The sequence below is a fragment of the Homo sapiens genome, chromosome 12 (genome assembly GCF_000001405.40).
Source record: "Homo sapiens chromosome 12, GRCh38.p14 Primary Assembly".
Classification (NCBI taxonomy): domain Eukaryota; kingdom Metazoa; phylum Chordata; class Mammalia; order Primates; family Hominidae; genus Homo; species Homo sapiens.
In genome coordinates, this window is record NC_000012.12 from 98630645 (window position 1) to 98646940 (window position 16296).

Sequence of the window (16296 nt, forward strand, 5' to 3'; positions counted from 1 at the left end):
CAGGAACCTATTGATGACGTTGAGGACTTACTGTATATCTCATCTGATCTTTATAAAAATCTTATTATTTCTCACTTAATAAATGATGAAATAGAGATGAAGATAAGTTATAGTGATTTGTCTAAGGTCACACAGTTGGGATGGGTGTCCATGTCTAGCTGTTTTCCCCTCCATCTGGGTTATGCTGCCCTTTAGGGCCACCTTTGTGAAAAGGGACCTCTTATTAAATTACTCCCAGGGCAGAATGGGAGAAAAAGCTACGAAAAGACTGAATATTTCTTTTTTTTCTTTTCATTTTTTTTTTTGAGACGGAGTTTCGCTCTTGTTGCCCAGGCTGGAGTGCAATGGCATGATCTCGGCTCACCACAACCTCCACCTCCCAGGTTCAAGTAATTCTCCTACCTCAGCCTCCCGAGTAGCTGGGATTACAGGCATGCACCATCATGCCCAGGTAATTTTTTGTACTTTTAGTAGAGATGGGGTTTTTCCATGTTGGTCAGGCTGGTCCTGAACTTCTGACCTCAGGTGATCCACCTGCCTTGGCCTCCCAAAGTGCTGGGATTACAGGTGTGAGCCACCACGCCTGGCCAAGACTGAATATTTTTTGGATTCTATAATGATATTTTAAAAATCTGCTTCAAAAGCTTTTTTTTTGAGATGGAGTCTCACTTTGTTGCCCAGGCTGGAGTGCAGTGGTGCAATCTCGGCTCACTGTGACCTCTGCCTCCCCGGTTTAAGCGATTCTCCTGCCTCAGCCTCCTGAGTAGCTGGGACTACAGACACACGCTACCATGCCCAGCTAATTTTTGTGTTTTTAGTAGAGATGGGGTTTCATCATGTTGGCCAGGCTGGTCTTGAACTCCTGACCTCAGGTGATCCACCCACCTCGGCCCCTCAAAGTGCTGGGATTACAGGTGTGAACCACCGTGCCCAGCCTGGCCAACATGGTGAAACCCCGTCTCTACCAAAAATACAAAAATTAGACGGGTGTGGTGGTACACACCTGTAGTCCCAGCTACTCGGGAGGCTGAGGCAGGAGAATCACTTGAACCCGGGAGGCGGAGGTTGCAGTGAGACAAGATCGAGCCATTGTACTCCAGCCTGGATGAGAAAAGTGAAACTCTGTACCACCCCTGACCTCCCCCACAAAAAAAAAAAGAAAAAAAAAAAGGAGAAATCTTGTTCAAAATAAGTTTTCAATAGCTTTTATTTATATTTATTTATTTATTGAGATGGAGTCTCACTCTGTTGCCCAGGCTGGAGCACAATGGCGTGATCTCAGCTCACTGCAATCTCCACCTCCCAGGTTCAAGTGATTCTCCTGCCTCAGCCTCCCGAGTAGCTGGGATTACAGGCGCCCGCCACCACGCCCAGCTAATTTTTGTATTTTTAGTAGAGATGGGGTTTCACCATGTTGGCCAGGCTGATCTCAAACTCCTGACCTCGTGATCTGCCTGCTTCGGCCTCCCAGTGTGCTGGGATTACAGGCGTGAGCCACCGCGTCCGGCCTTCAATAGCTTTTAATTAAATATGTGAAGTTTTGGCAAGGCACAGTGGCTCACACTTGTAATATCAATTCTTTGGGAGGCAGAGGCAGAAAGGTCATTTGAGGCCAGGAGTTTGATACCAGCCTGGGCAATGTAGCAAGACCCCGTCTCTCCAAAAAATTAAAGAAAAAAAAATTAGCTGGGTGCAGTGGCGTGCCTGTTAGTCCCAGTTACTTGGGAGGCTGAGTTGGGAGGAGTGCTTGAGCCTGGGAGGTTGAGCTGTTATTCCAACACTGCACTCCAGCCTGGATGACAGAGTGAGAGCTGGGATGACAGGGAGAGACTCTATCTGAAAAAAAAAAAAAAAAAAAAAAAAAAAAAATATATATATATATATATATATATATATATATATATGAAGTTTCTTGCCCCTGGGATTTCTTCTAATGGTATGTTAGAGTTCCCCCAACAGCTACAACCAGATTCCAATTTTTTTTTTTTTTTTTTTGGGACAGAGTCTCACTCTGTTGCCCAGGCTGGAGTGCAGTGGTATGATCTCAGCTCACTTCTGAAACCTCTGCCTCCCAGGTTCAAGCAATTCTCATACATCAGCCTCCCAAGTAGCTGGGATTACAGGCATGAACCACCATGCTCAGCTAATATTTTTGTATTTTTAGTAGAGACAGGGTTTCGCCATGTTGGCCAATCTGGTCTCGAACTCCTGACCTCAAGGTGATCCGCCTGCCTTGGCCTCCCAAAGTGCTGGGATTACAGGCATGAGCCACTACGCCTGGCTCAGATTCCAATTTGAGCCCTATGTGAAAATACCAACTCCTTTGCAGCTCCTTCCCCAAATCCCTTACACTCACCATCCATGGAATCCCCTGGCATTTGTGAGGGATACTTAATTTTCCTCCATGGCTTTTCTCTTCTGGAGGATTATATGCTCATCCTGTGCATGGGGCTGCAGGGACTTAGATGCTCCATTTCATCTCTATTTTTACAACATCCTTACCCACCCTGGTGCCAAGCATAGGTCCTTGCTTACCTTGTGACATGAGCAAAGGTTTAGTGAATGAATAAATGAACAAAAAGCCATATTTCCCAATGATAGCTTGGTCCCTGGTACCCAGAATAGGCCTACATGATGCCTTATTGATCACAGCTGACTTTGACTTTCTCCTGAGAGGTGTGGGAGTTACAAAAATGTTTATTTGTCTCACATTTCTAAGAATCACAGTAATAACGCATCTGGTAGAAATCAGCAACTTGAAGGAACACAATATAGACATGGTATTATTTTAATTTTCATTGGAATTCTTATTTGGCTACAGGACAAATAGTTACTTTTAGGCTAGCCGTTCTTTTTTTTTTAATTCTTTTTTTTTTTTTTTTTTTTTTTTGAGACGGATCCTCGCTCTATAGCCCAGGCTACAGTGCAGTGGTGTGATCTTGGCTCACTGCAACCTCCACCTCCCAGGTTCAAGAGATTCTTCTGTCTCAGCCCCCCGAGTAGCTGGGATTACAGGCGTGTGCACCACGCCCAGCTAATTTTTGTATTTTTACTAGAGATGGGGTTTCACCATGTTGGCCAGGCTGGTCTCCTAACTCCTGACCTCAAGTGATTTGCCTGGCTCAGCCTCCCACAGTGCTGGGATTAAAGGCATGAGCCACTACTCCCAGCCTAGGCTAGCCATTCTTAAATGCATGTACATATATCCTTAAAAAGCAAAAAGTAAGGGAAAAAATGGATAGATCTTTTCCCAATAAGTGCTATTCATATTCTAATTTTATGTCCAAAGATCAACCATATTTTCAGATGAGATCGAGCGCATTCAGGGTGGTATGGCTGTAGACATGATCAACCATATTTTCAATGCTCTAGATACCTGACACTTAAGTAGAAAATTAACATCATGCTAATATGAACAAATTGGTCTTTTTCAATACTAGAAATTATCATATTAAAAAATCCTTGCCCCTCAAAATGCAATCTGAGTCAAAATGGCTCAGAGGGAGAATGTCAAGAGGTAGGAAGATCAGTGAGAGTTAAAATAGTGATGGTCTAAAAGGCAGGAAGAAAGAAGTTCTGAGCTGGGATAGAGAAATGATAGTGGGGTAGTAAAATGGGAAAACCGTCCCAGATAAGCCAATTAATGATTACCTTTTCTGAAATTAAACTGATTTTACTTTGAAGTTGTTGGAATTCATTGGTTTCTAGTTTCAGTAACTGGTATTGGTTTTCCACCTTTGCAAATTTTTCTGACTGCTGAAATACAAACCTGGAAAAGAAAAGAAAAATCACTATTCTCCAATTCATATCCATTTAAATCCGAATTTCAAAGGAGAATTATACCCACTTCTGTTAAGAACAACATAAATTCTGGTATGGGTAGCTGTAGGTTTTTTTTTTTTTTTTTTCACACAGGGTCTCACTCTGTCACCCAGGCTGGAATGCAGTGTCACAATCATAGCTCACTGCAGCCTTGAACTCCTGGGCTCAAGTGATCCTCTTACTTCAACCTCCCAAATAGCTAGGACTGTCCATCTCGCTATGTTGCCAAAGGTGGTCTTTAGCCTTTTTTTTTTTTTTTTTGAGATGGAGTCTCACTCTGTCGCCCAGGCTGGAGTGCAGTGGCGCGATCTAGGCTCACTGCAAGCTCCGCCTCCTGGGTTCACGCTATTCTCCTGCCTCAGCCTCCCGAGTAGCTACGACTACAGGCGCCTGCCACCACGCCTGGCTAATTTTTTGTATTTTTAGTAAAGACGGGGTTTCACTGTGTTAGCCAGGATGCTCTCGATCTCCTGACCTTGTGATCCACCTGCCTTGGCCTCCCAAAGTGCTGGGATTACAGGCGTGAGCCACCACGCCCGGTATTTTTTTTTTTTTTTAGATGGAGTTTTGCTCTTGTTGCCCAGGCTGGAGTGCAATGGCACGATCTCGGTTCACTGCAACCTTTGCCTCCTGGGTTCAAGCGATTCTCCTCCTCAGCCTCCCAAGTAGCTGGGATTAAAGGCACCTGCCACCACGCCCCACCAATTTTTTAATATTTTTAGTAGAGATGGGGTTTCACCATGTTGGCTAGGCTGGTTTTGAACTCCTGACCAGTGATCTGCCCGCCTTGGCCTCCCAAAGTGCTAGGATTACAGGCATGAGCCACTGTGCCCAGCCCCAAGGTGGTCTTGAATTCCTGGCCTCAAGTGATCCTCCCCTCAGCCTCCCAAAGCGCTGGGATTACAAGTGTGGGTCAACATGTCCAGCCTAGATGCAGCTTTTATCAGTTTCTTTTGACAGATTTTCATGTGGTAGGTACTGGTTTAACTCATGCAAAGATGAGTAAAGCACTGCCCTTGTTCACAATTCACAGCCCACCAAATAAGATGGTGTGATATCTGTAATAGATGCATGCACAAGAAATATTTTAGAGGAGGACAAAGTGAAAAATTTAGAACAAGATCTTTGATCTCTACTGTTTTTCACAAGGCCATGATTGGGTAATATCTAGAAAATAGGTGTTTTTATGCTGAAATGTAGGCGAAACAAGAGTCGTCTATAAAAAGTATTTTAAAACTGAAATGTAGAAGAGTTGACTGATAAAAAGCAGTGGAGTAGAAGAGAGAAGTGATAGTAATTAGAAGTTGCAAAATAGCAGGAGGTGTGAAAAGAGGTATGAAAATAGAAAAAAGCCATTGCCAAAGTGACAATAGATCACAATCAGTGCAGAGTGTATAAACTGCACAATTGGTTATACTCAGTGATGTGACTCGTATAGGTGTACTTGAGATGTCACTCTAAAATTGGAGTTTATTCTTCATTATGGGTGGAAGCCCAAAAAGCTATCTCAATCTTCAAAACAACAAATCAACATCTGTTTATACAGGATTTGAAATGAGCAAGCATAAAAGAATTGTCTTGGATCCAATACCATTTTGTCTACTTTAACTCAATTCTTTAGGCTCAGAAAAAAACACTTGAAATTCTTTGCATATTGAGTCATCAAAACGCAATGGAGCAGAACCATAAGTACCTGCCTAAACACAGTCCTGAGACAAGTGGTTCAAAAGCTTTGCTACATATTGTAATAACCTGGCAGCTTTAACAAATCTGATGCCTGGGTCTCACAAAGATTCTGATTTAATTGGCTTGGGATGTGGCTTGGATGTTGGAAACTCAACAGCTTCTCAGGTAATCTAAGTGCACAGCCAAACTTAGAACCATACTGACTGACCATGTTTTGTGAAATTCATTTCCACTGAAAGGCAATCATTTAAAGATCCCAAGGATTAATGGAGAGGTGAAAGACTTTTCTGAGTAAATGCAGTTATCTGAACTTTGTGCATCCTTGCAAAAGTGGTAATGCTTTGAATTCATAAATGGCATCATTAGGCTAACCGTAGCTACAAAACTGTCCAAAGCTAAATTAGACAAATGTTTACAATACTGGAGGAAATACATTTCTTTTGATGATGCTGGCTAATTTCTATTATACGGGATCCCAGGTTACATTATTAGCACAGATTGACTTTTCTCCTGTGTTTAAATTAATAGGAACCTTTAAAGCTTCTGGTTATTAGAAAACACTATTATCCTAATTCTCTGAGATGGAAGGGTGAACATAATTCTTTTTTCATTGGCTGTTTCATTTCTGGCTTTTAGGATTTTTTTTTTTTCCCCCAGAGTATTGGATATCTAAGACCAGCAGATAGAGACCTTATTAAGAAAGAGACCACCCTAAAGAAATAAGAGTTGCCCTCCTCACGCCTTCCTGTCCCTCCCTGCCAGGGGGGAAAAAAAAAAAGTAAAAGAAGAAACACAGTTCATTTCAGGGACTAGTTTTATTATCCAATACTCCACCATAGATCTATACTATAGATTAGCGAGTTTATTCAGAATGAAATCATTATTATAAGAGACTTTCGTATGAAGGTTGATTCATTACAAAAAATACATTAATGAACTTTCTCAGAACTTCTTTTCAAATTCAAGCTTTAAACACAACCTGTGTCATGTTAGTGGAAATATCATCTCTGATAATTAGTAGTTTTTTTTGATTAGCCTCTTACTAAAATAAAAAAAAATTCATCCTTGCTACATGTGAACGGTGCATATAAGAAAAAAGTACAAAGCTGACTCAGCACTAGTGATGAAAAAAATGAAGTGATATGTGCTGTGCTGCGTTAAAATATATTTTATTTTTCCCTTATTTGTGCCAGACACTATTCTAAGTACTTGATAAATATTAATTCATTTAACATTAAAGAAGATGATTGATTTTTCTTTCTTTTTGTTTTTTTTGAGATGGAGTCTCACTCTGTCACCAGGCTGGAGTGCAGTGGCACGATTTTGGCTTACTGCAACCTCTGCCTCCCGAGTTCAAGTGATTCTCTTGCCTCAGCCTCCCGAGTAGCTGGGACTACAGGCGTGTGCCAACACACCCAGCTAATTTTTGTATTTTTAGTAGAGATGGGGTTTCACCATGTTGGCCAGAATGGTCTCGATCTCTTGACCTCATGTTCCGCCTGCCTCAGCCTCCCAAAGTGCTGGGATTACAGGCGTGAGCCACCGCGCCCGGCTTTTTTCTTTCTTTCCTTTTTTTGAGACAGGGTCTCGCTCTGCTGCCTAGGCTGGAGTGCAGTGGCATGATCTTGGCTAACTGCAACCTCCACCTCCCAGGTTCAAGTGATTACAGGCGTGAGCCACCGCACCCAGCCTAGATGACTGATTTTCTAGAAGTCAAGAAAATATGCTGAGAAAGCTGCTTCAGATCTGAAAAACTAAGCTTTCAAACTGGCATCCATGTTAGGGTATAAGGTCCTTTATTTCCTTTTTATGAGTCAGGGGCATATTCTAGTGAGAGCAGTTCCCAGTCTTCCCATTTAGATGAGAGTGAAAAACAAGCAATTAGGGTCTGCTAAAGGGTATACCTTCAAGTAGAAGGAAGAAAAGAACTATAAGTAATTCTGGACTTGGGGATTTCTATTTCTAGGATCTTGGCCTTTTGTTGGGGATTAATATCGAATGGAGGCAACGAATCATACTGATTAGGTGGGTGACTGGACTGCCTTAGCTCTGCCATTTACTAAGCTGTATAACCACTTTGGGCAAGTTAAATAACTTTGATGTTTCCTCATCTGTGAAGTGGGGATAATACCTTATTTTAATCTTATTTTTTAAAGACAAGATCTCACTCTATTTCCCAGGCTGGAGTGCAGTGGTGTGATCATGGCTCACTGTAGCCTCCCAGGCCCAATCCATCCTACCCCCTCAGCCTCCTGAGTAGCTGGGAACACAGGCGTGTGCCATAATGCCTGGCTAATTTTTTATAGAGATGGGGGTCTTCCTATGTTGCCCAGTCTTGTCTTGAACTCCTGGGCTCAAGTGATCCTCCTGCCTTGGCCTCCCAAACTGTTGGGATTATAGGTGTGAGCCAGAGCACCCAGCCAATACTTCATAGGGTTGTAGTTTGTTTTTCGACAAGGTCTCATTCTGTTACCCAGGCTGGAGTACAGTAGCCTGATCATAGCTTACTGCAGCCTTGAACTCCTGGGCTCAAGTGATTCTCCCACCTCAGCCTCTCAAGTAGCTAGGACCACAGGTACATTACCACCACTGGCTAATTAAAAAAAAAAATTCTGTAGAGAGGAGATCTGGCTATTTTGTTTGTTTGTTCGTTTTTTGAGGCAGCTGAAGAGGAAGAGGTCTACAGTGACACAATCATAGTTCACTGCAGGTCAAACTCCCTGGGCTCAAGCGATCCTCTCGCCTTGGCCTCCTAAAATGCTGGGATTATAAGTGTGAGCCACCATGCCTGGCCGAGTTATTGTAGACATTAGTTATTGCTATTTATAAAAGCTCCTGGAACAATAGAGCCATAGCACATCAGCTATTTCCTTTAAGTACTGTGGCCCCTTTTTTTTCTCTTTTTGGAGATGGAGTCTCACTCTGTTGTCCAGGCTGAAGTGCAGTGGTGTGATCTCGGCTCACTGCAACTTCCGCCTCCTGGGTTCAAGTGATTCTTCTGCCTCAGCCTCCCAGCTAGCTGGGATTACAGGTGCCCATCAACAAGACCAGCTATCTTTCTTTTGGACTACTTTGTGCAGCTACTCTTCCATCCTTCCTACATGCCTATGATTGCATAAGGGAAGCAGGGTTCCCGACCACTTGCACTTGATAGAAGCCCCAGGCCTGTCCCCCTTTGAACACTAAGTATAAACTGGGTTGTGTTTATGGCAAATGAAGGATGGAATAGATGGATTAGACCACTTATAAATCACTAAATAAAAATAACTCTCGTTTTTGGGCCTCTTCTCACTATCATATCATATGGCCTTGTGGAAGAGTGAGATACAGGAGAAAGGGACCCAGGCTACTTTTAGCGTAGGCCTTACAAAAAGAATCTTCCTGACTCCTTCATGAGCCATTGCAGTCTATAGAGACCTCATACAGATCTATCTAGGGTCCTGTGATAATGAATGGTTTACATTTTCCTACAGTGCATGGTGGTAATTAATGGTGTGTGTTGCCTCTGAATAGCTCCTTTAGGAACGTTAAATGGTGGCAGACAGCTGACTGAGGACTTACAAATTCAGGATTTCCTCTGGCTCTATTTCAGCTTAATAATGAAAAAGAGGCAAATAACCAAAGGAAGCTGTTACGGACCTTCTGCAAGGAAAGAAGTTCCAGGGCCACTATTAGGGTCAGTACCCATTTAGCCCTATGTTTCATACCATCTATAGCCTCAGTTTTAGCACAATACCTAGTTTTCAAGAAAACCTTGACCATATTCCATTTTTAAGAAGCAGGACATTTAAATTATACCCTTGTCTTTTAGATAAAACTCTACTAACACAAAGAAAAAAGCTGGAAATGGAGTTAGCCAAGGTTTTACAGTATGATTTATAGAGAAAATTATATTGGATAATTAAAACAAAAACCAGAGTTATACAACTTGCTTAAAGAGCTTTTGACTTTTTGTACATAATTATAACAGATACTATAAAAAACTTTTATAAAGGCAATTTAGGCCAGGCACGGTGGCTCACGCCTGTAATCCTAGCACTTTGGGAGGCTGAGGTGGACAGATCACCTGAGGTTGGGAGTTTGACACCAGCTTGACCAATGGAGAAACCCTGTCTCTACTAAAAATACAAAATTAGCTGGGCGTGGTGGCGCACACCTGTAATCCCAGCTACTCGGGAGGCTGAGGCAGGAGAATTGCTTGAACCTGGGAGGTGGAGGTGGAGGTTGCGGTGAGCTGAGATTGCGCCACTGCACTCCAGCCTGGGCAACAAGAGCAAAACTCCATCTCTCAAAACAAAACAAAACAAAACAAAACAAAACAAAACAAAAAAGCAATTAAAAAATCTATTGAAGTTTCCATAAGAAACAAAATTTTCACAATGGAAATTCCAGCTGATTAAATTTCTATGTAATTAAATAAGCATGAGTGACAGGTTTTGTGTCTTGTTTAGTAATTTAACAACTTTTTAACTTTCTGAAAGTAGAATCACCTCAATTCTTACCTGAAAAATTTCTATAAGAGTTTAGAAAAGAGCTATGCAAACTGACACTCAAGCCATATGGGTTTGGGCAACTTATCTCCAGTGTTTATTGTCAAGATGACATAGGATATATCAGGCCTTTTTTTTTTTGCAGGGTCTCACTTTGTCACCCAGGCTGAGTGCTGTGGTGCAATCAAAGCTCACTGAAACCTCAAATTCCGGGGCTCAAGCAATCCTCCAACCTCAACCCCCCAAGTAGCTGGGACTACAGGCATGCGCCACCATGCCTGGCTAATTTTTTGTATTTTTTGTAGAGACAGGGTTTTACCATGTTGCCCAGGCTGGTCTTGAACTCCTGAGCTCAAGATCCGCCCAACTCGGCCTCCCAAAGTGCTGGGATTACAGGTGGGAGCCACCACACCTGGCCTATCAGGCCTTTATTTAGCAGAGAGAAGATATTAAAGCAACACACTTTTAAGTTTCTTATGTATTATTTCTCTTTTCTTTCCACATAGGAAATGGTCTGAAGACAATGATATAGTGTGATTCCTTGAAATCCTTCTTGGGCAGTGGAAGGGTTCAGATTTTTTCCCTCCAACTTAATCAGATGAAGAGTGAGAGTAAGCAGTATTTAAGAGTACACAGACAGGCACACATATGCACTTGTATTTTAACCACCAGGGCCGTGTCAGTACGGAAAGCATTTAATAAAGATTTGATAGACCGACTTTTAGATGCTGAATTACGTGTTTTAGTGGTAAAGATCTCAATGGCTTTGTCAAAATTCTAGTGAGCTTTTAAGTATTTTAAGATGCCAAATACTTGCTTTTTATCTGGAAAATGTTTACAAATGTCTTATGGGGATATATTTTTATTTCAAAATTTACTATGAATAAATATTTTGCAATAAACAGCAACCAAAGTACATTTGCTTCAATTTTTGCAGCAAAAGATTTCACAAGAGCAACTAAGAGGCAACTATTTAAATAATAATTATAGAATCTGCCCATAAAAAACACATATAATACATACATTTTAGAGAGACAGGGTCTTGCTCTGTCTCTCAGGCTGGAGCACAGTGGTATAATCATGGGTTACTGCAGCTTTGACTTCCCAGACTCAAGCTATCTTCTCACCTCAGCCTCCCAAGTACCTGGGACTACAGCGAATGCCACCACACTTGGCTAATATTTAAAAATTTTTCGTAGACACGGTCTCACTATGTTTCCCAGGCTGGTTTCAAACTCCTGACCTCAAGCAATTCTCTCGCCTCAGTTTCCCAAAGTGTTGGGATTATAGGCATGAACCACTGGGTCTGGCCCCCAAAATTATTTTTGATATAGCATTGTGTTATCATTTTGCAAACATAGTTCAAATTAAATCTTCCTAATGAATGTAATACATTCATTACAATGTAATACAGGAATCACTAACAGCAAATTCCTGATGTGAGGGAAATTTTATTCCCATAAAGTTTAGTTTTCTATTAAAGCTTATCCCAGGATAGTAACTAACTTTCCCAAAACACAAAAGGTTACTTATTTATTTAGGCGAAGTCTCGCTCTGTTATCCAGGCTGGAGTGCAGTAGCAGATCTTGGCTCACTGCAACCTCCACCTCCCAGGTTCAAGTGATTCTCCTGCCTCAACCTCTGAGTAGCTGGGATTACACCAGGCCCAGCTAATTTTTGTGTTTTTGGTAGAGATAGGGTTTCACCATGTTGGACAGGCTGGTCTCAAATTCCTGACCTCAAGTGATTCGCCTGCCTCGGCCTCCCAAAGTGCTAGGATTACAGGCGCAAGCCACTGCACCTGGCCCAAAAAGGTTTTTTTTTCAATTTACTTAAAGGAGGTCAAGCATTTTAAGGCATAAGAGCCGTTTATTTAAAACAGTAAATTCAGTACATTTATTCCTTTCAGATCAAAATTAACATATTCCGTATTAGTAAAATAAATAATGCTATCTGCTTTTTTTTTTTTTTTTTTTGAGAAGGAGTTTTGCTCCATCCTGCAGGCTGGAGTGCAGTGGCACGATTTCGGCTCACTGCAACCTCCGCCTCTTGGGTTCAAGTGATTTTCCTGCCTCAGCCTCCTGAGTAGCTGGGATTACAGGAGCATGCCACCATGCCTGGCTTTTTTGTATTTTTAGTAGACACAGGGTTTTGCTATGTTGGCCAGGCTGGTCTCAAACTCCTGACCTCAGGTGATCCACCCACCTTGGCCTCCCAAAGTGCTGGGAGTACAGGCATGAGCCACTGCCGGCAGGCTGACAATTCTATTGTTTTTGAAGAGGGCGTTTAATCACTTTATTGTGACAAAATTTTGTTTGTTTGTTTTTTGAGATGGAGTCTCGCTCTGTTGCCCAGGCTGGAGTGCAATGGCACGATCCCAGCTCACTGCAACCTCCACCTCCCCATTTCGAGTGATTCTCCTGCCTCAGCCTCCTGAATAGCTGGGATTGCAGGTTTGTGCCACCAAGCCTGGCTAATTTTTGTATTTTTTGTAGAGACAGGGTTTCACCATGTTGGCCAGCCTGGTCTTGAACTCCTGACCTCATGATCTGCCCACCTCGGCCTCCCAAAGTGCTGGGATTACAGGTGTGAGCCACCGCGCCCAGCCGTAACAAATCTTTTAACTCTGAAAAATACACTATTTGGGATGAGTCACCAGTAAAGTATAATTCCATATGTAGTAGCATAAAAAATGTCTAGATGTCCAGGGTCTCTTCTAAAATTCTATCACTCTGGAAGATTAACAACAGTCTTACTAAATAACTTTACACATGAATGAAAAATGGAGAAAAATTCTATTAAGATGCCAATCTTATTAAAATGAAATGGGCTATTCCCTCCTCCCGCCAGAAAAAAAAAGGCTGGGAAAATAAAATTCACAAGTTGGTTTTTTTCTTTTTTCTTTTTTTACGAGTTGGTTTTAAGGTTATTTCTAATATTCATTTTTCCTAATGACACCAATATATCGCCATTTACCTGATTTTAAAACTGCAACTGGTTAGTTTTAAGTGAACACAAGTGCTATGTTTTTGTAGCTTTACCATATTCAATCTGTAACTTACTTAATAAAAGACCTTAAATTCATAATGCATGCACGGTGATCAAAATATGAGCACTCCTCCAAGCTCTGCTACTATAACGTTTGCTCCTTTGGGAGCATAATGATATGGTTTTCTTTTTTTTTTTTTTTTGAGACGGAGTCTCGCTCGGTCGCCCAGGCTGGAGTGCAGTGATGCGATCTTGGCTCATAGCAACCTCCGCCTCCCGGGTTCAAGCGATTCTCCTGCCTCAGCCTCCGGAGGAACTGGGACTACAGGCGCCCGCCACCACGCCCGGCTGATTATTCGTATTTTTGGTAGAGATGGGGTTTCACCATGTTGGCCAGGCTAGTCTCGAACTCCTGACCTCAAGTGATCCACCTGCCTCGGTCTCCAAACATAATGATCTGTTTTAAGGTTGCAAGTATTTCCATTAGGTATTTATGGGGTGAGTAGGGTGGGGCAGATGTGTCCCGGAATGGGGCACAGCGGACAGGAAGTAACGGTTTATAACAACGTGAACGCTTCTGACGTGTAGCGGGAGCTTCAGAAAGCGTGGCCGAATCTGCAGCTCTTAACAAATGGCTCGTTCCCAAACCTTAGCCTCAACTCCTTCTGAGCGATAGGGGCATGCTACCAGCACGGGGGGAAATGAGATACAAGAAACGCCCGAAAGGGAAAAACAAGGCTGGGCTGTTTCCTTCCTTTGGGGTCAAGACAGAGGCACAGAAGGCCCAGGTCTGGGAGGTTGGATCACCTCCGGCTGGATGTTGAGCCGGGTGGGAGCCCAAACAGCAGGGGGCCCACAGGAGGCCGGCCCAGGCAGCCTCGCGTCCACTTACCAGGCCAGGCCCAGGCACGTCCCCAGCGACAGCAGGCTCAGGCACGTTCGGGGGTCTGCCCAGCCCCCGCCTCCGCTGCTCCGGGCCACGGGGGTCTTCCCGCCCTCGCTCCGCTTCCCGGGCTCCGCAGCAGGGGCTCCCTTGGGCCCCGACTTCTTCCGGCTCTTCACCTCAGACATGTCTGGAGACCCTAGGACGACAAGCCCAGGGCAGCTTCTTCACCAGGGGGAGCAGGACGTGGCCGCCTTGGCGTTCGTGGGAACCCTGGGCGGTGACCGCGCCCCCTCACAGACTTGGCACCGCCCAGAGCCCAGCCCCTTCCCTCTCCCCGGCATCCTCGTTGCTTCACTGAGTCTTTCAGCTGCCAGCTCCATAGTTCCCCTAGGAGAGGTGGGCGGCGACCTCAACCCACAGCGCCTTCCACTGCGATATTGCTCCAAATCCGAGGAAATTCAAACTCCCGGGCGCGCGCAGGCCGACGGGACCCGAGGAGGAGGGGCAGGACGAAGGGGTCGCGCGCGCCACGTCGGGCGCGCCGCCGCTGCCCGAGTCCGGCATTGGTGGGAACGCGGCGCGTCCCTGAGGCTTAGCCACGCCCCGTCCGCGGGGTAGGCGGGCACTTCTACGCGCGCGGGCATGAGCCGTGGCAGGAGTGCGCGGCGGCAGCGGTGGCCGCCCCTTGGGGCTTGGGGTGTGTTTATTTGCATAAGCGGGCGCGCGCCGTCCGGGCTGGGTGGATCCGGCGGGATTTGACTGCTCCGCTGTCCAGAGGCGGAGAAGAAGAGGTAGCGAGTGGACGTGACTGCTCTATCCCGGGCAAAAGGGATAGAACCAGAGGTGGGGAGTCTGGGCAGTCGGCGACCCGCGAAGACTTGAGGTGCCGCAGCGGCATCCGGAGTAGCGCCGGGCTCCCTCCGGGGTGCAGCCGCCGTCGGGGGAAGGGCGCCACAGGCCGGGAAGACCTCCTCCCTTTGTGTCCAGTAGTGGGGTCCACCGGAGGGCGGCCCGTGGGCCGGGCCTCACCGCGGCGCTCCGGGACTGTGGGGTCAGGCTGCGTTGGGTGGACGCCCACCTCGCCAACCTTCGGAGGTCCCTGGGGGTCTTCGTGCGCCCCGGGGCTGCAGAGATCCAGGGGAGGCGCCTGTGAGGCCCGGACCTGCCCCGGGGCGAAGGGTATGTGGCGAGACAGAGCCCTGCACCCCTAATTCCCGGTGGAAAACTCCTGTTGCCGTTTCCCTCCACCGGCCTGGAGTCTCCCAGTCTTGTCCCGGCAGTGCCGCCCTCCCCACTAAGACCTAGGCGCAAAGGCTTGGGTAAGTTGACCTCCTCGCTTTTCTCCCCGAGCCAGGTTCTTTGGAGGCTTGGTAGCTGATTTCAGGGACTGAGAATTTGAGGACATGGAATATTTGATAACCATCCTGCTCCTGTACCAGGAAGAGAAATTCTGTAATGAGGAAGTAGTAAACTTGGGGTTTTCGTGGATAAACGTGCGCTGTTTTCTGTTTTACGTCCATGAAGAGTTTTGGCTTTCCATTTTGTTGTGGGTTACAAAAGGTTTTGAGACTTAGTTCAGATAAGTTGTGCAGTTTTAAAACGTATTTAAGATTTGCATATTTTAGTTTAACAGGACTAGGTGAAATTGGAAATTAGTTTCAGAAAACCAGAGTGTCTTATTTGCTTAGCTATTGGACATCACCTAAAAAATTCATTCATTCTTGTTTTTTCACATCGAATTTCATTACTATAAATTAAGGAACATTTTATGTTTAAGAGGACAAAAACGTTATTAACATTTTAAAAAATGAGAGTTTTGATTCGAATCAATAACTTTTTATCAGTTTTGTGCCCCTGCTGGGCATTTTGTAAGCCTTGACAAGCATAGGCAAATGCCCTACGTCCGTCCCTGTTTTTCCAAGTGCTACATTTGGTGACTTCAAAAACAGTCATTGAAGCTTGATAATTATTGCCCCCTTCTGTGAGCTCCAAGTTACTTGTGCTCTGTTTTTGCACTTCGGGCATTCACATTCCCACTCTCTCTCTCTTTTTCTTCTTTGAGTAGACTGTGAATTATTTCAGGCAAATGACTCAATCTTTTCTGTAGTCTTGGTGTCTGACATATAGGGAGGGGCACAAATGTGTATTGAATGAATGAATTGATAAACCCGTTTAGACTCTTTCACTCTATACATTGTGTAAAGTTCTGTTAATGTTTTGAAAACTTGCAGATATTGTGAACTGGGTTTTATGCCCATGGAAAAATTTGCATTATATTTGAAATAAAGTTGCTAGAAACGTCAAGTATTTTACTATAAAGGCTGTTATTCTTTCCTCATGTCCTCCTGGTCTGAGAAATCACATCAGAAAGTGTTTCCTGTTGCTTTGTGGGAAATGTGTTTAGCAAGGAGGACCTAGAGCTGA

General features: G+C 44.3%; 2 protein-coding genes across 11 annotated transcripts in view, besides 7 other annotated features; one reads left to right on the forward strand and one right to left on the reverse strand.

Annotated features, from left to right (window-relative positions):
* The window catches only part of IKBIP (IKBKB interacting protein), a 31385-nt gene extending 17241 nt beyond the window's left edge, over positions 1–14144 (reverse strand). For 2 of the 3 annotated variants that reach the window (NM_201612.4, NM_153687.4), the window contains exons 1-2: positions 13879–14144; positions 3652–3769 (exon numbers count right to left, since the gene is read on the reverse strand). In NM_201612.4, the coding sequence (NP_963906.1) occupies positions 3652–3769; positions 13879–14057 (297 nt within the window). In that variant the 5' untranslated portion in view covers positions 14058–14144. The remainder of the gene's footprint in view (positions 1–3651; positions 3770–13878) is intronic. The other variant, NM_201613.4, reaches the window with a different exon arrangement.
* Positions 5570–5629: a silencer, noted in NCBI's record as "silent region_4754". NCBI's record gives its function as "represses an Ori minimal core promoter by ATAC-STARR-seq in GM12878 lymphoblastoid cells {active_cell/tissue: GM12878}" and the evidence as "EXISTENCE:reporter gene assay evidence [ECO:0000049][PMID:35858748]".
* Positions 6657–6826: an enhancer, noted in NCBI's record as "experimental_31387 CRE fragment used in MPRA reporter constructs". NCBI's record gives its function as "activates a minimal promoter by MPRAs in K562 erythroleukemia cells, with activity observed for both the introgressed and non-introgressed 12:99031164 variant alleles {active_cell/tissue: K562}" and the evidence as "EXISTENCE:reporter gene assay evidence [ECO:0000049][PMID:34662402]".
* Positions 12862–13489: an enhancer, noted in NCBI's record as "H3K27ac hESC enhancer chr12:99037284-99037911 (GRCh37/hg19 assembly coordinates)". NCBI's record gives its function as "activates a minimal SCP1, AML or CMV promoter by ChIP-STARR-seq in naive H9 embryonic stem cells {active_cell/tissue: H9 hESC(naive)}" and the evidence as "EXISTENCE:reporter gene assay evidence [ECO:0000049][PMID:30033119]".
* Positions 13490–14116: an enhancer, noted in NCBI's record as "H3K27ac hESC enhancer chr12:99037912-99038538 (GRCh37/hg19 assembly coordinates)". NCBI's record gives its function as "activates a minimal SCP1, AML or CMV promoter by ChIP-STARR-seq in naive H9 embryonic stem cells {active_cell/tissue: H9 hESC(naive)}" and the evidence as "EXISTENCE:reporter gene assay evidence [ECO:0000049][PMID:30033119]".
* Positions 14117–14744: an enhancer, noted in NCBI's record as "H3K27ac hESC enhancer chr12:99038539-99039166 (GRCh37/hg19 assembly coordinates)". NCBI's record gives its function as "activates a minimal SCP1, AML or CMV promoter by ChIP-STARR-seq in naive H9 embryonic stem cells {active_cell/tissue: H9 hESC(naive)}" and the evidence as "EXISTENCE:reporter gene assay evidence [ECO:0000049][PMID:30033119]".
* Positions 14321–14520: a silencer, noted in NCBI's record as "silent region_4755". NCBI's record gives its function as "represses an Ori minimal core promoter by ATAC-STARR-seq in GM12878 lymphoblastoid cells {active_cell/tissue: GM12878}" and the evidence as "EXISTENCE:reporter gene assay evidence [ECO:0000049][PMID:35858748]".
* The window catches only part of APAF1 (apoptotic peptidase activating factor 1), a 90144-nt gene continuing 88493 nt past the window's right edge, over positions 14646–16296 (forward strand). For all 8 annotated transcript variants that reach the window (NM_181861.2, NM_181868.2, NM_181869.2 and 5 more), the window contains exon 1: positions 14646–15191. The gene's annotated coding sequence lies outside the window, so the exon portion shown is untranslated. The remainder of the gene's footprint in view (positions 15192–16296) is intronic.
* Positions 14841–15050: a silencer, noted in NCBI's record as "silent region_4756". NCBI's record gives its function as "represses an Ori minimal core promoter by ATAC-STARR-seq in GM12878 lymphoblastoid cells {active_cell/tissue: GM12878}" and the evidence as "EXISTENCE:reporter gene assay evidence [ECO:0000049][PMID:35858748]".